Source organism: Homo sapiens, chromosome 22 (assembly GCF_000001405.40).
Source record: "Homo sapiens chromosome 22, GRCh38.p14 Primary Assembly".
In the NCBI taxonomy this organism is placed as follows: domain Eukaryota; kingdom Metazoa; phylum Chordata; class Mammalia; order Primates; family Hominidae; genus Homo; species Homo sapiens.
The window spans coordinates 26,859,714-26,883,212 of NC_000022.11; the positions used below are offsets into that span (position 1 = coordinate 26,859,714).

Genomic DNA, 23,499 nt, shown 5'->3' on the forward strand with positions numbered 1-23,499 from the left:
AGTCACTCCATCCGGACGACCCTTTTAATTTTCCTTTCAGCATTTATCTAGCTGGGCCTGGTGATGTGTGTCTGTAGTTTCAGCCACTCGGGAGGCTGAGGAAGGAGGATTGCTGGAGCCCAGGAGTTCAAGGCTGCAGTGAGCTGTGATCATCACTTTGCTCCAGTCTGGATGACAGAGCGAGACCCTGTCTCTAAAACATAAATAAATAGGCCAGGTTTGGTGGCTCATGCCTGTAATCCCAGCACTTTTGGAGGCTGAAGCCAGTGGATTGTTTGAGCCCAGGAATTTGAGACCAGCCTGGACAACAGGTGAAACCCTGTTTCTAGGAAAAGCAAAAATTAGCCAGGCATAGTGGTACATACCTGTGGTCCCAGATACTCAGGAGGCTGATGTGAAAGGACCACCTGAGCCTGGGAAGTTGAGGCTGCAGTGAGCTGAGACTGCTCCACTGAACTCTAGCCTGGGCGGCAGAGTGAGACCCTGTCTCTAAATACATAAATAAAATAAGTAAAGCACTTTTCAGTATCTTTCTGGAATTCTTATCTATTTGTTAACATATGTATGGTCTTTTTCTGCTGCTGAGAGGTGAAGCCAGCTGGACTTCCTGGCTCGAGTAGGGACTTGGAGAACTTTTCTGTCTAGTTAGAGGTTTGTAAATGCACCAATCAGCGCTTTGTGTCTAGCCAAAGGATTGTAAATGCACCAATCAGCAACTCTGTAAAATGGACCAATCAGCACTCTGTAAAATGGACCAATCAGCACTCTGTAAAATTGACCAATCAGCAGGATGTGGGAGGGGACAAATAAGGAAATAAAAGCTGACCACCCCAGCCAGCGGGGGCGACGTGGTGGGGTCCATTTGTAGGTTGTGGAGGATTTGATCTTTTGCTCTTGGAAATAAATCTTGCTGCTGCGCGCGCTCTCTCTCTGGGTGCATGCTGCTTTTAAGAGCTGTGATACTCACCAGGAAGGTCCGTGGTTTCATTCTGGAAGTCAGCGAGACCAAGAACCCACCAGAAGGAACCAACTACAGACACACTGCTATATGTAAGCTTCTTGGGAGCAGGGTCTTGGTTTTTTTTCTTTCTTTCCTTCTTTTCTTCTTAACTTTCCCCCTTCCCCTTCCCTTTCGCCTTTCCTTCCTTTCCTTCCTTTTTTTTTTGAGACGTAGTCTTGCTCTGTTGCCCAGGCTGGAGCCCAGTGGCACAATCTCCCCTCATTGCAACCTTTGCCTCCAGAGTTCAAGTAGTTCTCCTGCCTCTGCCTCCCGAGTAGGTGGGATTACAGGTGCCTGCCACCACACCTGGTAAATTTTTTGTATTTTTAGTAGAGACGGGATTTCACCATATTGGCCAGGCTGGTCTCGAACTGCTGACCTGGTGATTAAATAAATTCGATTAATATATAACATACATGGAGAAAGATGTACAAGTCATACGTGTATAGTTAAATGAATTATCTCAAACACACTCCTGTGTAACCAGCAATGAGCTCAAGACACTCAACATTTCCAGCCCCACCTCAGTCCCCAACCCCCAAAATGTTCTCACATTCCCAAGTCGACTCCCCAAGGGTAACTGCCATGCTACCTTCCAACATGTAGATAAGTTTGTGGAGCTTTTGAACTCTTACGTGGGTAGAGTCACACAACAGTATGTATGTTTGTGACCAGCCTGGCCAACATGAAACCCCGTCTCTGCCAAAAGTACAAAATCAGCCGGGCATGGTAGCCGGTGCCTGTAGCACCAGCTACTTAGGAGGCTGAGGCAGGAGAATAGCTTTAACTCGGGAGGCAGAGGTTGCAGTGAGCTGAGATCGCGCCATCACACTCCAACCTGGGAGAGAAGAGCGAGACTCCATCACAAAAACAAACAAAAAAACAAAAAACACAAAAAAACCAAACTACAAATACATACAAAAATCTAGATGAAATGGACAAATATAATTTTGAGTAAAAGAAGCCGGATGTAAAACATACATACTGTGTGAGTCTATCCACATAGAGTTCAAAAGCTGGAGAGACTTATTTACATGTTGGAAGGTAGCATGGTAGTTACCCTTGGGGAGTCGACTTGGGAATGTGAGAACATTTTGGGGGTTGGGGACTGAGGTAGGGGCTGGAAATGTTGAATGTCTTGAGCTCATTGCTGGTTACACAGGAGTGTGTTTGGTTTGGGAGAATTTGTTGAGCTATGCACGTATAACTTGTACATCTTTTACCATGTATGTTATATATTAATAGAATTTATTTAAACATATTTATAGGGTCCAGCTATGTACAAACTGAATCAAGATTCTATGTACATCAGAATCAAGAGAGAGTGAGTTCTTGACATCACGGAGCGGTCTACATTCTAGTTCATGCGGTGGACCTGCTGGGTGGCCTCAGGTAAGAGACTCATTTCCCTTATCTATAAATTGAGAATCCTAACTCTTTCCCCTAATCAAACCCAGCTGGTAAATTCCCCCTTCACCGCTCCCTTCTCCCCTCAAAGAGACAAGCCGTCTTTGCCATATGCCTCTTTCTTTTTTCCACCCAGAGGTACCTTTCAAATGCTGGCCCAGAAAGGTGAGGCAAGGAGGGGACCTGGCCTCCATCTCTGTGAATCCCACAGCCCTCCTCCTGAGATCTGCAGGGGTAGCATGAAATATTTAAAAGCTCAAATTGAAATCTTGTTAGAGCCAGGTCTTGTAAAGCCAAGTTCTCCAACCCCAGAACATCAGTATCTGTTTGCTGGTGTCATTTAGGGACCCCGGCTTTCCAAACCATTGACTGAAACTTTCTGTCAATCCAACACTTTTAGGGTAATTTAACTTAATAATACCTTTGTCGGCACTGGCGCCTGTATCTGAAGGGTGATTACCATAGAAGTTATTTTAGGTTGTTTAATGGAATGTAGTAAATTCTCAATTGACAGGGCAGATCCTCAAAATGGCTTTTCAAAGTGTTTACCTTTCAAAGCTTTCTCCCTCACTTTACCGAACTTACTACTTTGAGCCAGCGAAGACTTCATAAATTATTAGCAATTGTTCTCCCCCCTGTGTTCACATGCATCATTAATTCTTTGTAAAAAGTTCAAACTGTCCGGGGCTTAATTGTTATCACTTGGAGAACGGCTAGAAATGGATGCAGGCTGTATTATTTCTGTCAAAAATTTTGACTTATTGCTCTTGATATTTTACCCATCACATCACATCCTCGGTACAGGAGAGAGGAAAAAGGAGAGGGGGAGGAGAAAGAACATAAATGCGTTTTCTTGAAACAAAACAAATATAATAATACATATATTTCTGAGGAGAAAAGTCAAGGATTCATCTGACAAAATAATAGTTTTAATCCTCCAAAGAGAGAGGAGGAGGGCAGCATTAGGGGGAAATTTCTATTGTAAATTCTATTGCTTCACACTGTACTTTTATTCTAAGTTTTGAAGGTTGTATAATTCTAGGAATCTAATGTTTAACGATTCTGAGATATTGAAATTTTATGAGTCCAAATTCCCAAGGTGTTTGATTTTAAGGATAAATTAATCCCACCGTCCAGTATTCAGGACTGCTAAAAAGTATAGTAGAATTAGAAAGATATTGACAATAACCACAGAAATAGCTAAGCTTTGTTGAGACCTTAACCATATGCAGGCACTGTGCTGAGTGCTTCATGTGCAGCACCTTATTTTATTTTATTTTATTTTATTTTATTTTTTTGCTTTTGCTAATTTTTTAAAATTGTACTTTAAGTTCTGGGGTACATGTGCAGAACGCGCAGGTTTGTTACATAGGTATACACATGCCAGGGTGGTTTGCTGCACCCATCAACCTGTCATCTACATTAGGTATTTCTCCTAATGCTGTCCCTCCCCTAGCCCCTCATCCCCCAACAGGCCCCAGTGTGTGATGTTCCCCTCCCTGTGTCCATGTATTCTCTTTGTTCAATGCCCACTTATGAGTGAGAACATGCGGTGTTTGGTTTTCTGTTCTTGTGTTAGTTTGTTGAGAATGATTGTTTCCAGGTTCATCCATGTCCCTGTGATCCCATTACTGGGTATGTGTCCAAAAGATTATAAATCATTCTACTATAAAGACACATGCACACGTATGTTTATTGCAGCACTGTTCACAGTAGCAAAGACTTGGAACCAACCCAAATGCCCATCAATGATAGACTGGATAAAGAAAATGTGGCACATATACATGATGGAATACTATGTAGCAGCACCTTATTTAATCTTCATGTCACTGTAAAGTAGGTACTGTTATTAACCCCTTATATAGCTGGGAAAACTGAGGCACAGAGAGGGTAAGTAACTTACTCAGGGACACACAGCTGGTAAAAAGCAGAGTTAAACTCTGACTTCAGGCCCTGTGTGTGTAGAACTTAACGTATATTGTGCCCCATCTCAAGACACTGCTCTTTTGCCCCACCTGGCATGCTGTGGATCAGTGTAGAAGTGATCCACATTGGTATATGAGTCTATTGTCAGACTACCCCTGAGGCAACCCAGCCCTGACCTGCTTTTTGTTTGTGTTGACGTTGCTCATCCAGTCCAGCAGATCACCCTTTCCCATACATTCTACAAGGTCATCTCCTCCAAGAAGGCTTCAGTCCTGCCGCACCATCCTTTGAATCCTCACAACAGTTGGTACCAGGGAAAGGGATAATGAGGCAGTCTAGTAGGCTGGCCAAAAGCATGGACTATGGGGTCAGATCCCTTCGGTTGGGATCTTACTTCTGCCAGTAAATCCATGCGCTAAGCTTCAGTTAGGCAAGCCATTTCAGCCTCAGCTTTCACATCTGTAAAATGGATATAACCACCCCTGCCTCACAGAACTGTTGTGAAGAGGAAGGGAGGTGCTCCAAGGGAGCTCTGTTTACTGCTTCACAACAGTCAGTGCTGAATACATGTTGGCTGTTGTTCTCTCTTGTCTTGTAGTGATCTCGTACTGAGAGTTTTGTACATTAAAGTATAAGAGTCAGTATTTTTTTTCCTAGTCAACATTTATTTTCAATGAGATTTGGAAATTTCCTTACCAAATAATTCAAGGTGAAAGTATATTAAACTATATTTTTAAAAATTGTATTTTTGACAAGTGACCATTATATATATTTATGAGGTACAATGAGATGTTTTGATTATGTTTATCTTGTGCAATGATTAAATCAAGCTAATTAACACATCACCTCATTTACTTATCATTTTTTGTGGTGAAAGCATTTAAAATCTTGTTTTTTTAGCAATTTTGAAATTATATATTGCATTATTGTTTATTATTGTCATCATTCTGTACAATAGGTCACTGAAGCTTATTCCTTCTGTCAGCTGAAACTTTGTACCCTTTGATCACTCTCTCCTCTTTCTCTACCCACCTGCTTCCCCCAGCCTCTGGTAACCACCATTCTACGCTCTCAACTTCTTTAGATTTCACATATAACTGAGATCATGCAGTGTGTGTCTTTCTGTGTCTGGCTTATTTCACTTGGCCTAATGTTCTCCAGGTTCACTGAAGCAAATGACAGGATTTCCCTCATTGTAAAGGCTAAGTTGTATTCCATTGTGTACATACACCACATTTTTTTAATCCATTCATCTGATGTTGGACATTAAGGTTGCTTCCATATCTTAACTATTGTGAATTACATTTCAATGAACATAGGAGTGGAAATATCTCTTGGGCATAGGATTTCAATTCCTTTGGATATACACCCCACATGGTAATCCTATTTTTAGTTTTCTGAGGAACTCCCATACTGTTTTCCATAATGGCTGTATTAATTTACTTTCCCACCAACAGTGCACAAGGGTTCACTTTTTCCATACCCACATCAACTTATTATGTCTTTTTGATAATAGTATTCTAACAAGTTGTGATGATATATCATTGTGGTTTTAATTTGCATTTCCCTGATGATTAGCGATGACCAGCACTTTTTAATTCCTCATTTGTCCATTCGTAGATCTTCTTCTGAGAAGTGTCTATTTAGGTCCTTAGCTAATTTTTTGATTGGGTTATTTATTTTCTTGTTATTGAGTTGTGTTTCTTATATATTTTTTATGTTAGCTCCTTATCTGATGTATGGTTTGCAGATATTTTTTCCCAGTCCTTGAGTTGTGTCTTTACTCTATCAGTCATTTCCTTTGCTGTGCAGAAACTTTTTAGTTTGATGTAACTTCATTTGTTTGTTTTTGCTTTTGTTGCCCATGCTTTTGGAATCATACCTAAGAAATATTTGCCCAGACCAATATTCTGGAGCATTTCTCCTATGTCCCCTCATAGATTCACAGACTCAGGTCTCATGTTTAAGTCTTTAATCCATCTTGAGTTGATTTTTGTATATGGTGTGAGGTAGGGTACAATTTCACTCTAATGCTTGTTGACATCCAGTTTTCCCAACACCATTAATTGAAGAAGCTATCTTTTCCCCATTGTGTGTTCTTGGTGCTTTTGTCAAAACTCAGTAGACCATAAATGTGTGGGTTCACTTCTGAACTCTGTTCTATTCTGTTGGTCAATGTGTCTGTTTATATGCCAATGCCATGCTTTGATTACTATAGCTATATAATAGATTTTGATGTCAGGTAGTGCAATGCCTCCAGCTTTATTTTTTTTTGCTCAAGATGCCTTTGGTTATTTGAGGTCTTTTGTGGTTCTATACAAGTTTTAGGATTGTTTTTTCTTTGCTGTGAAAAATGACTTTGAAATTTTGATAGAGCTTGCATTGAATCTGTACATCACTTTGGGTAGTATGGACATTTTAACAATATTAATTCCCAATCCATGAACACAAAAACATTTCCATTTCCAGTCATGCACTCCATAATGACATTTCAGTTAGACAATGAACTGCATAGACAAAAGTGGTCTCCTAAGATTATAATGGAGCTGAAAAATCCCTGTTTCCTAGTGACATCTTGATGATCCTGACCCTGTGTAGATAACTAGGCTAATGTGTGTGTGTGTCTCCTAGTTTTTAAGAAAAAAGTTTAAAAAGTAAAAAAAAAAAAAAAAAAAACTAGAAAAAGCTTAAAGAATAAGTATATAAAGAAAGAAAATATTTTTGTACCTTGTATAATGTGTATTTTACACTATTATCACAAAAGAGTCAAAAAGTTAATAAAATTAAAAATTTTATGAAGTAAAAATGTTGCCATAATGCTAAGGTTAATTTATTATTGAATAAAAAATGTTTTAACCTAAATTTAGGGCAACCTAAGTGTTCAGTGTTTATAAAGTCTGCAGTAGTGTACAGTAATGTCCTAGGCCTTCACATTTATTCAGCATTTACTCACTGACTCACCCAGAGCAACTTCCAGTCTGCAAGTTCCATTCCTGCTAAGGGCCCTGTACAGTTGTACCATTTTTTATCTTTTATACTGTATTCGTATTGTACCTTTTCTATGTTTAGATACACAAATACCATCATGTTAAAATTGTTTATGGTATTTATTGCAGTTATGTACTGGATGTGTTGGTAGCCTAGGAGCAGTAGGCTCTACTTTGCAGCCTAGGTGTGTGGTAGGCTATTCCAGCTGGGTTTGTACAAATATACTCTATGATGTTTGCACAGAAACAAAATTGCCTAACCACACAGTTCTTAGAACATACTCCCATCATTAAGTAACACATGACTATATTTGTGTCTTCTACATTTTCTCTCAGCAATGTCTTATGGTTTGTAGTATACAGATCTTTCACCTTCTTGGTAAAATTTATTCCTACATTTGTTTGTTTGTTCAAGGCAGGGTCTCACTCTGTCACCCAGGCTGGAGTGCAGTGGTGGGTTCATAGCTCACTGCAGCCTTGACCTCCTGAGCTCAAGTGATCCTCCCACCACAACCTCCCAAGTAGCTGGGACTACAGGCGCACATCACCATGCCTAGCTAGTTTTTATATATATATATTTTTGTAGATATATGATTTTGTCATATTTCCCAGGCTGGTCTTGAACTCCTGGGCTCCAGCAATTTACCCACCTGGGCCTCCCAGAGTGCTGGTATTACAGGCATGAGCCATCGTGCCCGGCTACTCCTAAGTATTTTAGCTTTTCTTTTTGGGACTATTGTGAGTGCGTTAGATTTCTTAATTTCTTTTTCAGATAGTTGATTGTTGGTGTAAAGAAATGCTGCTGATTTTTGTGTATTGATTTTGCACACTGCAAATTTACTGAGTTTGTTTGTCAGCTCTAACAATTTTTTTCATGGAGTCTTTGGAGTTTTCTGCATATAAGATCATGTCATTAGCAAACAGACTATTTCCCTTCTTCCTTTCCTATTTGATTGCCTCCTATTTCTTTTTCTTGTCTAATTGCTCTGGCTAGAACATCCAGTGTTGTGTTGACTAGAAGTGTTGAGAGTGGGCATTCTTGTCTTGTTCCTGATCTTAGAGGAAAAGTTTTCAACTTTTCACCATTGTGTATTATGTTATTGGTGGGTTTTTCATCTATGGGCTTTGTTGTGTTGCAGTACATTCCTCCTATTCCTAAAAAAGGATGCTGAATTTTGTCAAATGTATTTCTGCATCCATGAAGATGACAACATGATTTTTATCCTCCTCTTAATATGCCATATCACATTTATGGATTTGCATATGTTGAGCCAAGGATCAATATATTATGAGCATTTACTATGGGATCAGTGTCTGTGTTGAAGGTTTTCTGTTTGTGACATCACTTGACCTTCATGACCATTCTCTGAGCCAATGAATACTCCATTCTGCAAATGATGAGACTGAATCTCAGAGAAGTTAATCATCCTGACAGTAGTGGGAAGCCTGTGTTTGTCCACTTTTCTGCAGTGCCAAAAAGGGAGAGTGATGTCTTTCTCTTCTCTGTGTCCTCCTCCAGAAGCTCAATGAAGAATATCTGGGAGAAGTCCCCTGGCTGACCATTGTCCTATTTTTGGACCTTGGTCAGGGAGGTAGAGACATTGTCTGTCTGTGTCAGGTGCTGGTAAGCAGCAGTGCTTCTTGGATGACTCTAGTGAGGTGCTTGGATTTTATGCACCGCCTTCTGCTTGTTTCTCTCTTGTTGCTGATCTTCATGGGCTTCCTTTCTTAATGAGGCAGAAAGAGAGAAGGGCAGGAGTTTCTTCTGGATTGAGGGTATGGGAGGGTGGGAACAGTTGGGCCAGGAGTCAGAACACAGGGGCTTGAGTTGTGGCCTTGTCATCTGTATGACTTTGGGAACATCCCTTTCTCTTTGTAAACACTGGTTTCGATAACTGCAAAAATATATGCATTAGATGAACATCTCAGCGGCTCTTCCATACTGCTTCTGTTTTGAAGCAGTGGAACCAGCTACTCTAATGAAATCATTATCAGAAAGCCTTACACTTAAGTCAGATACAAGAGGAGTGGCTATGGATGGAGAGGGAGTAGGGGTGTTGATTCCACTCCCTCGCCCCACTCTGGTCCCCGAGGTACTTTCAATGAGCACCAGTGTTCCATAAAGTACAGTTTAAAAAGAGATAACCAAATCATCTCTGACCTACGCATTTCAGTGCTAAGCGGGTACAGTGGTCTTGGCCATTTGTTTTATATCTGCTTTGGAATATGGCTGTACAATTCTCCCCAGTTCACAAACCTGCCTCTGCCCCAAGTCCTGTGTGTGGACTCTCAGGTCCCTATGTTGCCATCTTTCTAGATGCCTCTTTGCTTTATTGCTGAGTGAGGAAGTGCCACTATCAACAAAGGAGGTGAGAACATTTTGGCAAATCATAGCACATCAGAGATTGTCTGGGCTAGTGGTCTACATGTTGGTGTCTTGGTAGGTTTCATGGAAGGAAGAGGAAGGGTGGGGGCCCACCATCCCTGCTTTTACAGAGCACCTGCACTCTGATTTCCTTCCATATGAAACTGAGCTTTTAAAATTAGTTTTGCTTTTAAAATTAGTGTTTTATTTTCCTCTGTTTCACACAGAAAGTGGTAGAGACTAATACAGAGGAATGCTGAAGCTGGTTCATTCTGGCTCACAAGAACCTATTGTTCTGGAGAGGATGTGGAGAAATAGGAACACTTTTACACTGTTGGTGGGACTGTAAACTAGTTCAACCATTGTGGAAGTCAGTGTGGCGATTCCTCAGGGATCTAGAACTAGAAATACCATTTGACCCAGCCATCCCATTACTGGGTATATACCCAAAGGATTATAAATCATGCTGCTATAAAGACACATGCACACGTATGTTTATAGCGGCACTACTCACAATAGCAAAGACTTGGAACCAACCTAAATGTCCAACAACGATAGACTGGATTAAGAAAATGTGGCACATATCCACCATGGAATACTATGCAGCCATAAAAAATGATGAGTTCACGTCCTTTGCAGGGGCATGGATGAAACTGGAAACCATCATTCTCAGCAAACTGTCAAACTATTGCAAGGACAGAAAACCAAACACCGCATGTTCTCACTCATAGGTGGGAATTGAACAGTGAGAACACATGGACACAGGAAGGGGAACATCACACACCGGGGACTGTTGTGGGGTTGGGGGAGGGGGGAGGGATAGCATTAGGAGATATACCTAATGCTAAATGACGAGTTAATGGGTGCAGCACACCAACATGGCACATGTATACATATGTAACAAACGTGCACATTGTGCACATGTACCCTAAAACTTAAAGTATAATAATAATAAAATTAAAAAAAAAAAGAACCTATTGCGTGCAGCTTTTCCCCTACTCTGTAATCAGTGAAATCAAATTGATAGCTTGGAATTGGCCATGGTGGGAGTATTTACATCATAAAAATTGGCCAACACTACAAATCAGGGTTTTCTCCTAGAAAAGCCAGTTGTTAAACATTTACCGGCCAGGTGCGGTGGCTCACACTTGTAATCCCAGCACTTTGGGGGGCCGAGTTGGGCAGATCACCTGAGGTCGGGAGTTTGAGACCAGCCTGACCAACATGGAGAAACCCTGTCTATACTAAAAATACAAAATTAGCTGGGCATGGTGGCGCATGCCTGTAGTCCCAGCTACTCGGGAGGCTGAGGCAGGAGAATCACTTGAACCCGGGAGGCAGAGGTTCTGGTGAGCCGAGATCGCACCATTGCACTCCAGCCTGGGCAGCAAGAGCGAAACTCCATCTCAAAAAAAAAAAAAATTACCAGCATACCACCAGACTAATATTAATGATATAACAAATACTTGTGTACCCACCACCTAGCTTCTAGCTTTGACATCTTGACATATTGCTATATTTGTTTTAGACCTTTTATTTTAAAGTTAAAATAATACAAAGGCAATTGGTCCTATCTGTATTACCCTCTACAATCCCATTCATTTGCTTTCTGTTCCAGAAATACAGTCCTATCCCAAACTTGGTGTTTATCATGTTTTAAAAATATTTTTACTACATATGTGTCCATAAATAATACATGGTATTGTTTTGCATATTCTTAGATTTATATCCATGATATTATACCATATGTATCATTCCACAACTTTTATTTTTAAATACATTTTACGTTTTTTTGAAAGGTTTATACATGTTGATATATGTAATTCTAGTTCATTCATTTTAATTTCTATATGGTGTTCCATTGTATAAATATATTAACATTAATTTATTTTTTTTCATTGATGGACATGTAGGCTGTTTCCAATTTTTGTACACGTGTTCTGGTACACATATGCAGCAGCTTTTAGGATATATACTTAGAAATAGAATTTCTAGGTGAAAGGATATGCATGTATTAATCTCTGCTAGATTTTGCCAAATTGCTCCCCAAAATGATTGTACAAATTTACCCTCCCACCAACAGTAGATGAGAGTTCTTGCCAGCAATTGATATTGTCAGATGGTTTAATATTTTCCAAATGATATCTCTTTGTAAAATGATCTCTCTTTGTGGGTTTAATTTGCATTTCCCTGGTTACTAGTGAGATTGTATCTTTATTTATGTTCGTTGGTCATTTATTTTTCTCTTTTATGAATTACCTATTCATTTCTTATGCCACTTTCCCCCTACAGTGTTTTTTATCTTTTTGTAAATCAATTCTAAAAATATATTCTGGTTACTAATTCTTTATGATTATATAAAGTGAAGTTTTTTTTTCTGCCAGTATATTCTTTGTCTTTCAATATTGTATGAGATGTCTTTGGCTGTGTAAAACTTTTAAAATTTAATCTAGTCACGTTTATCAATCTTTTATTGTATGATTTGTGCTTCTGTGTCTGGTTTAACAGTCCATCCTGAGGCTATATCTTTCTATAATTTATTATAGAAAATTTATATAATTTACTGTACAATTTAAAGGTTTTAGTATTGTCTGTTAGGTCGTTAATCAACCTAGATTAACAATCAACTTGTTTTTGTGTAATGTGTGAGGTAGGGATCTAATTTATTAATTTTTCATATATGCATCCAGTTTTCCCAGTACAATTTAAGAAACAGTCCCTCTTTTCATCTCTCACTTTCAATAATGTTTTGTAGATTTTAGTGTGGTTAACTTGGAATGTGGTTCATTAGGTTTATTTCTAGGTATTTGATATTTTTGATGCTATTACAGTTTTATGATTTTCTTAAAATTTTATTTTCAATTTGTTTATTGCTGATATATAGAAATAAAATTGATCTTTGTATATTGATCCTGTATCCAGTAACACTGTTACATTGAACTAAATTGAACTAGTAATGCTAATAGTTTATAGATATTTTTGGATCTTCTGCATATGCAATCATATTACCAGTGAATAAAGACAATTTTATTTCTTCACTCTCAGTTCTTAAGCCTTCAATTTCTTATTCTTTCCTGCTCTTTTGGCTAGAATACTCAGTATGTGCTGAATAGAAGAAGATAATGCTTGGTGATAGCAGGCATTCTGGTCTAGTTTCCTATTTTGTGGGGAAATGTTTGTGTTTCACCATTAAGAATAATATTTGTGGCCGGGCGTGGTGGCTCACACCTGTAATCCCAGCACTTTAAGAGGCCGAGGCTGGCGAATCACGAGGTCAGGAGTTCGAGACCAGCCTGGCCAACATGGCGAAACCCTGTCTCTACCAAAAATACGAAAAATTAGCTGGGCGTAGTCGTGGGCTCCTGTAATCCTAGCTACTCAGGAGGCTGAGGCAGGAGAATCGCTTGAACCCGGGAGGTGGAGGTTGCAGTGAGCCAAGATCGTGTCACTGCACTCCAGCCTGGGTGGCAGAGTGAGACTCCATCTCAAAAAATAATAATAATAATGTTTGATCTTTATTTCATTTTTTTTTTACCAAATTAAAGATTATTCCCCACTATTTCTACTTAAAAGCTTTTAACCATGAATGTCCATTGAATTTTGTCAAATGATATTCTATATCTACTGAGGTGATTATATGATTGTTCTCTCTCTTGTTGAAGTGGAAAATTACACTACATGATCACTGTATTTCTAGAATAAATATCAATTAGTCATGATGTACCATAGCTTTTATTTACCACTGATTTGATTCGCAAAATTATGTTTGGGCTTTTTGCCTGTAAGTTCATGAAAAAGCCTGGTTTGTAATTCTTCTTTTTTGTACTTTTCTGGTTTCAACATCAGAGCTATTCTGGCCCCATGAACAATACTGGGAAGTGTTTTTAAAAATATTATCTGGAATAGTTTGTGGAAAATCAGTGTTGTTTCTTTCTTAAATATAAAGAAGAGTTGACTGTGAATTTATCTAGATTTGAGGTTTTCTTATGAGAAGTTTTAAATGATACATTCAATTTTTTGATAGATTTTGGACTGTTCAGATTTTCAATTTATTCTTTTGTTAGCATTGCAAAGGTGGATTTTTTTTGAGGAATTTGTCCATTGCAATTCAGGTTGTCAAATTTATTGGTTTAAACTCTTTACAACATCTTATTATCTTTTAGACATCTATAGAGTCTGAAGTGATGTCTCTTATTATTTCTTATGGTATTGACAGGTTTCTCTGTCCTTTTTTCTTAATTGCTCTTGCCTGAAATTTGTCAAGTTTATTAACATTAACAAGTTGATAAACTAACTTCTGGTATTATTACTGTTTTGTTTTGAACACTTTTATTTAATTTCTGCTATCTTTATTATTTCCTTTCTTCTGCTTTCTTGCATTTGACTTAGTCTTGTTCTAGCTTTTTGAGATGGAACAATAAATTATTAATTTTTGTCTTTCTTTTTTAACAATATATGCATTTTGAGGATAGGGAGATCCCTGTATTCTCTGCTTTACCTGGATCTCATGTTTTGATATGCCATAGCTTCAGTATCATTAATTAAAATAATTTTAATTTTTCTTCTTGATTTTTGATGCAGAGATTGGAGTATATGGTTTAATTTCTAAGCAACTGGAGATTTCTTGGTAATCCATTTGGTATTTATTTAATTCCTATTTCTTTTGGGCTCCCCAGCATTTGGTCACGTGGCATATAAATGTTACACGTGGATATAAAAAGAATGTATCATTGTTGGGTGTGATGTTCTCTATTTGTCAATCCAGTGAAAGTTAACTGTGTTATTCTGATCTTTGTCATTGCTGAGCTTTTATTTTATTGCTCTACCAGTTATTGTGAAGGATGTGTTAAATTCTTTCCACATTACTATGCATTTGTCTATGTCTCTCTTAATTCAATTTTTACATTATTGATATATTTTGCATAATATTTTAAGCTATGTTACCAGATGCATACCAATTTAGGATTGTGACATACTCATCTTCCTCTTGGATTTACTCTTCCATATTTTCAGTTATACTTTCTGCCTTTAATGTCTACTTTTATGTTAGAATGGCTGAACCAGCTTCCTTTTTGGTTGATGTTTGCATAGCACATCTTTTTACATTTCTGTATTTTGAATCTTTTTATATAGTTATGTTTAAAGTATGTCTCTTATAAGCAGCGTATACTTTTCTTTTTAATTGAGCCTAACAATCTTTGCCTTCTATTTGAAATATTTCCTTTACATTTAAATAATTACTCTGTTAAATTACATGAAACTATAAATGTTTAAAACAAATTACATAATTTTATAAGTTTCATAAAGTTTTACTTTTATAGTTTATATATTAATGTTATATGATTTTAGAGTGTAAGTTTTACATAGATATATTACATTTATTCTTAAATATTTTACATATTTATGTAATATTGTAAATAAAATTTCATTTTTAAAATTTATGTTCTAGTTGTTCAGTGATAGTGTGTAAAAATACTATTGATTTTTGCTAAATTCACTTATTACAAGGACAGCAAATAAAAACAGCTTTTCTTCTCCCTTTCCAGTTTGTATGCCTTTTATTTCTTTTTCTTGTCTTATTTCAGTGGCTGTGATAGCTCAGACAATGTTAAATTACAAAGTGGTAAGAGTGGACATTCTTGTCTTTTTTCTAATCTTAGAGAAAATGATAACTATTCCGGCATTACTTTTGTTAGTTGTGGATTTTTTTACATGCTCTTTGTAAATTTGAGAAAGCTTTTTTCTATCTACAGTTTGTTGGAAGTTTTTATCACAAGTGGCTGCTAAATTTGAAAATAATTTTCTGTATCAGTTGAGACAATCATATGAAGTTTTTTCCTTTATTCTCATAAAATCATGAATTGCGTTGTTTAATTTTCAGACATTAAGTCACTTTGCATTCCTGGGTTAAACCTCACTTGGTTATGATGTATTATCTTCTCGTACATTGCTGCATTCACTTTTATAATATTTTGTTCAGAATCATTGCACCAATGTCCATAATGAATAATGGCATGCATTATTCTCTTTCTGTATTTTTTTCATCTACTTTTGATATCAGGGTAATACTGGCCTCATAAAATGATGTTCTATTTGTTTCTTCTAACCTTCATTTTCTGAAAGAGTTTATGTAGAACTGGTATTATTTCTTTCTTAAATGTATGATCGAATTAATCAGTTTTGCAGTCTTTTCCTGGAGTTTTCTTTGTGGGAAGGTTTTAAATTACACATCCAATTTCTTTTCTATATGTAAGATTATTTAGATTTTCTATTTTTTTCCTAATGCCAAGTTTGGCAAGTTGAGTCTTTAGGGTGTCTGTAGGATCTGTTGTGATATTTCCACTTACGTTCTCCATATTGGTAACTTGTACCATCTTTCTTTTTTCCCCACACAGTTTGACTTCAAGTTTACCAGCTTTCTTAATCTTTTCAAAGAATGAGCTTTTGGTTTCATTGATTTTCTTTGGTGTTCATCTGTTTTGATTTTTTTTTCTTTTTAAATTGCATTTTATTAATCATTATTGTCCTTCTTATTTTATATTTAATTTGTCCTCCTTTTTGTAGTATTCTAATGTGAGAGATTAGATAATTGAGTTTAAACCCTCTCTAATATAAACATTTAAATCTATAAATTTCCCTCTAACCACTATTTTACCAATATGCCACATATTGTAATACATTGTACTTAATAACTTCACTGAGTTACAACAGACATACAATATACTGCTGATTTTTAAGGAGCACCGTTTGATAAGTTTTGACATATTTATTTACCTGTGAAATCATCACCACAGTTAAGGTAATGAACATATTCATCATTTCCAAATTTTCCCTGTGCTCCTTTTTAGTTTTTCTCTTGCTTCTTTTTAGTTTTTCTCTCCTATCTTTCCACCCCAACTCTCCAACTCTAGGCAATCACAGATTTCCTTTATGTCACTATGGACTATATAAATACTGTCTGTAAAGTACTCATATGGTATGTACTCTTTTTATTTTCTGACTTCTTTCACATAGCAGAATTATTTTGAGATTCGTCCATATGTTTTATGTATCAACAGTTTCTCTCTTTTTTTTTTTTTTTTTTTTTTTTGCTGAATAGTATTTCATTATATAGATATACCACAATTTTTTATCCTTTCATATGTTGATGGACATTTGGGTTGTTTTCAGTTTTGAGGTATAACAAATGAAGCTGCCATGAACATTTACATACAAGTCCATGTAGGTACATATGCTTTGTTTCTTGGGTAAATACTGTGATGGTTAATTTATGTATCAATTTTTTACTGGGCCACAGTTTGCCTAGACATTTAGCCAGACATTATTCTGAGTGTATCTGAGGGTGTTTCTGGATGATGTTAACATTTGTATTGGTAGACTGTTAGTCCATTTGTGTTGCTATAAAGGAATACTTGAAACTGGGTAATTTATAAAGAAAAAAGGTTTATTTTGGCTTAGGATTCGGCAGGCTGTACAAGAAGCACAGTGCTAGCATCTACTTCTTGTGAGGGCCTCAGGAATCTCACAATCATGGCAGAAGGCGAAGGGGCAGCAGGTGGTTACATAGTGGGATAGGAAGCAAGAGAGAGGTGGAGGTGCCAGGCTCTTTTAAGTAACCAGATCGCATGTGAACTCATTACTGTAGGGATGGCACCTGCCATTCACAAGAGATCTGCCCCCATGACCCAAACACCTCCCACTAGGTCCCACCTTCATATTGGAGATTACATTTCAACATGAGATTTGGGTAGGACAAATATCCTAACCATAACACCCTCCATTATGTGGGTTGACCTCATCCAACCCATTGAAGATGAGAATAGAACCAAAAAGAATGAGTAAGAGGGAACTCCTCTTGCCTGAATGCTTGAGGTGGGCCATTGGTTTTTTACTCGTGTTTGGACTCAGACTGAAACATCTGCTCTCTTAGGACCTGAAATAAAACCATACGTTGGCTCTCCTGAGTCTCCACCTTCTTGACTGCAGATTTGGGACTTCTCAGCCTCCATAAATATGTGAGCCAACTCCTTATAATAAATCTCTTTCTATGTGTGTATGCGTGTATAAGTATAAGGTTGGAAATATATTGGTCTGCTTCTGTGGCAAACCCTGACTAATTCAAATATCCAGGAGTGGAATGACTGTATCATATGGTAGGTGTGTGTTTAAATTTCTGGAAGTGGTTCAACTCTTTTCCAAAGTTGTTGTTCCATTTACGTTCCCACCAACAGTGTATTAGAGTTCCCCTTGCTCCATGTCTTTACCAACACTTAGTATGATCAGTTTTGTTTTTAAAGTTCAGTCATTTTCGTAAGTGTGCAGTGGCATATTATTGTGATATTAATTGTATTTCCCTAATGACTAAGGATGTTGACTATCTTTTCAAGTGTCCAAAGAAGATATAGTAAATAGCAAATAAGCACATGAAAAAATATATGAATGAACACGAGTGGTCATTCAACTCCTAGATATTTGTATTAGTCAAATTATACATATATAAAATAATGTGTATTATGTATATAATATGTCTGTTATATATACATATATATAATATATATTATATATATATAGCTCTGAGGTTTGGGGAGTATCCTCAAGTTAGAAAGTCACAAACTGCAATTTCTATCACTTTTAATTGCATTTTTCAAGATCAAATTCATCTCTAGTGTCTTTAAATAGATTTTATTTTATCTAGTGTTTATATTTGTTATCTGTAGGAGGATTCACTCCTCTGTCATTTAAAAAAGTCTGCATTCATTGAGTTCTTAATTTTAAATATTTTATTTTCAGTTCTAGAATGTACCTCTGATTCTTTTAAAAAATAGGCTCCATTCTTTTTTGGTGAAATTCTTTATTTTCTAATCTATTTTGTTAAAAATTGTAGTTATTAAAAGTCCTTGTCTGCTAATTATAATAACTTTACCAACTGTGATTCTTCTTCTAGTGTCTGTTTTTTATTTCATAGCCTCTTGCATATTCACATGTCTAGTACTTTTACATTTTATGTTGGAAATCGTAAATGATAGAATGTTAGAGTTTCCTAAATTATCATCTGCCAGAAGATAACACGATGGCCTTTACTCTGTTAGATGGGGTGGAGTGCTAATCACCTCAATCCAACAAGCACTTGTATTTGCAGTTGTGAGGCTGCAGGTTCAATGAGGTCTAGTCTACCTTTGATCTGCCCTGTTTCTGGGGCATTGGCATGGCCCTCTAATGTTTTTAACTGAAAGTCTAGCGGATATTTTTATCCTCAGTTTTGCCAGCCTCAGGAAGATTCTGTTCTGCCCTTCAGAGGTTTTCAGTATAGCTCTTTAGTCTTATACCCACACAACTTCAATTTTAACGTGTGTCTTAGGGGGGAATCTATCCGTGTGCTTGCGACCCTTTGGTCTCCGGTTGCTTACAGCTGTTTTGATTGAATGTCTACATCTCTGCTGATTCCTCACTTCCCCAACAGTTTTCTTCTCCTAGGATCCAGTCCTGAGATCTCAGCTGCCAGCTATTCCTGAATAAGCAGATGCTCCCGGGGAAAGGGCCCTTGCTCCTCTGTGTTCATGGAGGTGACCAACCATGCTAGTTTGCCTGGGACCGAGTGGGTTCTTGACACACAGGACCTTCTGCTTTAAAACTGAAATAGACCCAGGCAAACCAGGCTGAATTGGGCACTCTCATGTCGATGCCCCATTCATTTTGGTACTTTTCTCTCTGGTTCTCCTGTTTCTAGTTTACCATCCCCCTTTTCATGGAGGGTCTTTTCTCTTAAGTATAGCAAGCCCTTGAGATCTGCAGGTTCCACATTTGCAGACTCAACAAGCCCTGGATACAAATACTTAGACAAGAAAAACAGTAAAAAATAATACAGCAATTTTAAAAACGCAAATAAAAGACAAGACAGCCATAACTATTTACATGGTATTTCCGTCGTATTAGGTGTTATACCTAATCTAGAGATGATTTAAAGTATACCGGAAGATGTGTGTATGTAGATTAAGTAAGGGACTGGAGCTTCCTCAGATTTTGGTATCCATGGGCAGCGGGATGTGGGTCCTAGAGCCAATGCTCCATGGATACCGAGGGAAGACTGTATTGCGATCCTGTGGGAAATTTCACTCTGCTTTTCAGAAGCTTTTGGCCTTGCTCTTTGGCCTCCCAGGAAGTAGTAGTGGAAGTCATTACAAAACACATTGTGGGTAGAGAAAACCGGCCTTTCAAATTTCAAATTTTATCACCATAGTCCCACAACTGCCAAAAGCTTTGCTTGTTTCTCCAGTGCTACGCCTCACATATTGGCCACCAAGAGTGAATAATTTATTAACATCACTTCCTTTTTTCATATGATAACATTATTTTGAATAATAACCATGTAACAATCAGGAATAATCATTATTTTGGTCTTACAATAAATACTTTTAAAAATTTAATCGTTAATTAAGTTTTTCCATTTTTAAAGTACTCTTTACATTCAATATTTTCCTTGTGAACTAAACTTCGTACTTACTAAACAAAACTATTACTTCTTATAGCTAATGCTCTATTTTTATTTTGAGACAGAGTCTCCCTATGTCTCCCAAGCTGGAGTGCAGTGGCGTGATCTTGGCTCATTGCAGCCTCCACCTCCCAGGTTCAAGTGATTCTTCTCTCCCAGCCTCCCAAGTAGCTGGGATTACAGGTGTGTGCCACCATGCCCGACTATTTTTGTGTTTTTAGTAGAGACGGGGTTTTACCATGTTGGCCAGGAGGGTCTTGAGCTCCTGACTTCAGGAGATCCACCCACCTCAGCCTCCCAAAGTGCTGGGATTACAGGTGTGAGCCACCGCACTCGGCCTATGCTCTATTTTTAAATTTAACAGTTTTAAAATTTAACATAGGGAAAAACTCCAAGTGGCCTCATATAGAATGATGGAATTTAAGTAACTCAAGTTCTTTACTACCGTGGCTTATTTGAAATCTATTATTTAAGTGAAGGAATATGGAGTAGTGTAGAGGTGAGAGACACAAAGTTCACCCCAAATAAGCACAGATGACTCTAAGTCATTATGAACTTAATTTTGAATGAATGTCTTTGGTCAAATTTGTATATAGTCAAAGCTGACTATACAATTGAGTTTTCTGAATTAGCTTCCATGTAAAATACAATATTTATTAAAAGATAAGTTTAAAAATGTGCTAATTTGAAGTTTACATTTATGACTAAACCTTAACACTAAGTACAGCAATTGTTTAGAACTTATAAAAAATAATTGGTGGGGGGGAGTATTTCATCTCTGAAATTGTTTAGAATTACTAACTCATGGTGATAACGAAAAGCAGATTGATGTTTAGTTTTATTTATTTATTTTTTTTGAGACGGAGTTTTTGCTCTTCTTGCCCAGGCTGGAGTGCAATGGCGTGATCTCAGCTCACTGCAACCTCCACCTCCTGGGTTCAAGAGATTCTCCTGCGTCAGCCTCCCGAGTAGCTGGGATTACAGGCATGCACCACCACGCCTGGTTAATTTTGTGTTTTTAGTAGAGAGAGGTTTCTCCTTGTTGGTCAGGCTGGTCTCGAACTCCCAACCTTAGGTGATCTGCCCGCCTCGGCCTCCCAGAGTGCTGGGATTACAGGTGTGAGGCACCGCGCCGGCCTATTGCTTTTATGTTCTCTACAGTCTCTGCATGCCTCTGTTGGCTGCCATCGGGGGCAGACCACTCCCACTGCCCATCCTTGGACTCCACTGTTTTGGTTTCCCTGGGCAGTTACCCTCTGTCTGGGCAAGTGAAGATTCTCAGCCTGAGCCCAATATCAACAATGTTCCAGGCTGAAACAGCAGTAGCCAATTGTCTGCCCATTTCTGAACGGTTCTTACTATTCTGGAACTGTAGTCCTTATACTTTTTTTCTTTGCTTTCACAGTTCTGGATTCCCTTAAAAATACTATTTCTGTGTTAAGTGTTTTCTAGCTGTCAGCACACATGCTGTCTTACCGTGACCTATTATATCTTTCTTGGAAACAGAAGGCACTACTGGTTTTTGAATGCTGATCTTATATTTTGGAATCTCACTGAGTGTTCTTATTAGTCGTAAAGCCTTATCTATAAATTCTCCTGGAAAGTTCCCTTCAATCCTTCTTTTAATGACAATTTGAATTATAAATGAGGATTGAATTTTTTCAAAATTTTTTCAGAATGGATTTAGCGAATTATGCGAATTTCTCATTTAATGTGATGTATTATACAATAAGTTTTTCTGATATGGAACCATCCTTGCATTTCTTAGATTCACCCTATCCTTTCATAATGTATTTTCTAAAATATTACTGAACCTGACTTCCTAGTTTTCCATTTTACACTTTCATGTCTATTTTTCTATAGATTTCTTTACTTTTGTATTATTCTTAGTGGATTTTGGTATAAAGGTCTTATTAGCCTCAAATGAATTTGAATTATGCCCCACCTTTCTCATTCTTTAATGCATAGACTATTGGATTTACCTGTACATTAAAGGTCTGACATAACAGGTTTATAAAATGTTAAGCTCCCAGGGAATGAGGTGCGATGGTCAGGAGAGGGGATAATAATAGATTTTGTACAATGTTTAATGGATATTAGACTTTTAAGTCTAACATTTTTTTCTTCTTCTGCCAACTTTGGTCATTTTTATTTCTTTCAAATCATTTTATTTAAGTTTCAAATGTATTGGTAAGTATGCTGCTTGTAGTATTTTTTTTTTTTTTTTGAGACAGGGTCTTGCTTTGTCGCCCAGGCTGGAGTGGTGGCACGATCTCGGCTCACTGCAAGCTCTGCCTCCCGGGTTCACACCATTCTCCTGCCTCAGCCTCCTGAGTAGCTGGGACTACAGGTGCCTGCCACCATACCTGGCTGATTTTTTTGTATTTTTAGTAGAGACGGGGTTTCACTGTGTTAGCCAGGATAGTCTCGATCTCCTGACCTCATGATCCGCCCGCCTCAGCCTCCCAAAGTGCTGGGATTACAGGCATGAGCCACCATGCCCTGTCTGCTTGTAGTATTTTTGAAATAATTTGTAAAAGCTCTCCTGTTTTTGTAGTTAAAAGACTTATGCTGTATAACTCTCCCTTCTCACTCCCTTTCTCCATTTTTTTCTTAATCAGACTTGCTAGAGGCTTTATTTATTTAAAAAGTATGTTTTGTTTTGTTTGTCTTTGAGACAGGGTCTGGCTCTGTTGCCCAGGCTGGAGTGCAGTGGCATGATCTTGGCTCACTGCAAGCTTTGCTTCACAGGCTGAAGCCAACTGAGTGGCTGGGACTACAGGCACATGCCACACCCGGCTAACTTTGTATTCTTTTTGTAGAGATGGGGTTTCACTATGTTGCCCAGGCTGGTCCTGAACTCCTGAGCTCAAGTGACCAGCCTGCCTCGGCCTCCCAGAGTGCTGGGATTACAGGTGTGAGCCACCGCTCCTGACCAAAAGTATTTTTTGTGCTTGTGGATATTCTCCATTGTTCCAATGTCTTGGGGTCAGAGTGTTGGCAATTGTCTTGCTGGTAGCCAGATTTGAGGATGACGAGTTTGCCCAAGGGAGACAATATTATAGTAAACAGTAATTGCGTGGCATCATTAAGTCCTTAAGGACAGGAATGGGGCATTATTCATCCTTTGATCTTCAGTATCCAGCACATGTAGAGAGCTCCATGATGCTTTGCAAATTGATGAATAGGATAGGACCGACAGAGATGCCAGAATTGCATACAAACCGTGTGACCTTTGCAATATCCACCCCCTAATACCTCATTGCCATCTCTGCAGCCAGTAAACTAGATTTTAGCAGAGATGGAAAGACCATTTATTTGGGTC

The 23,499-nt window shown here is 37.9% G+C and overlaps 1 long non-coding RNA gene across 1 annotated transcript; it reads left to right on the forward strand.

Moving 5' to 3' along the window:
* Positions 1-497: 497 nt before the first annotated feature.
* On the forward strand, positions 498-22,072 carry LOC110091768 (uncharacterized). The gene is made up of 6 exons (NR_146604.1): positions 498-1,050; positions 1,193-1,309; positions 2,269-2,392; positions 17,616-17,700; positions 20,240-20,357; positions 21,061-22,072. It is a non-coding gene; the product is annotated as an uncharacterized LOC110091768 (long non-coding RNA).
* Positions 22,073-23,499: the final 1,427 nt, after the last annotated feature.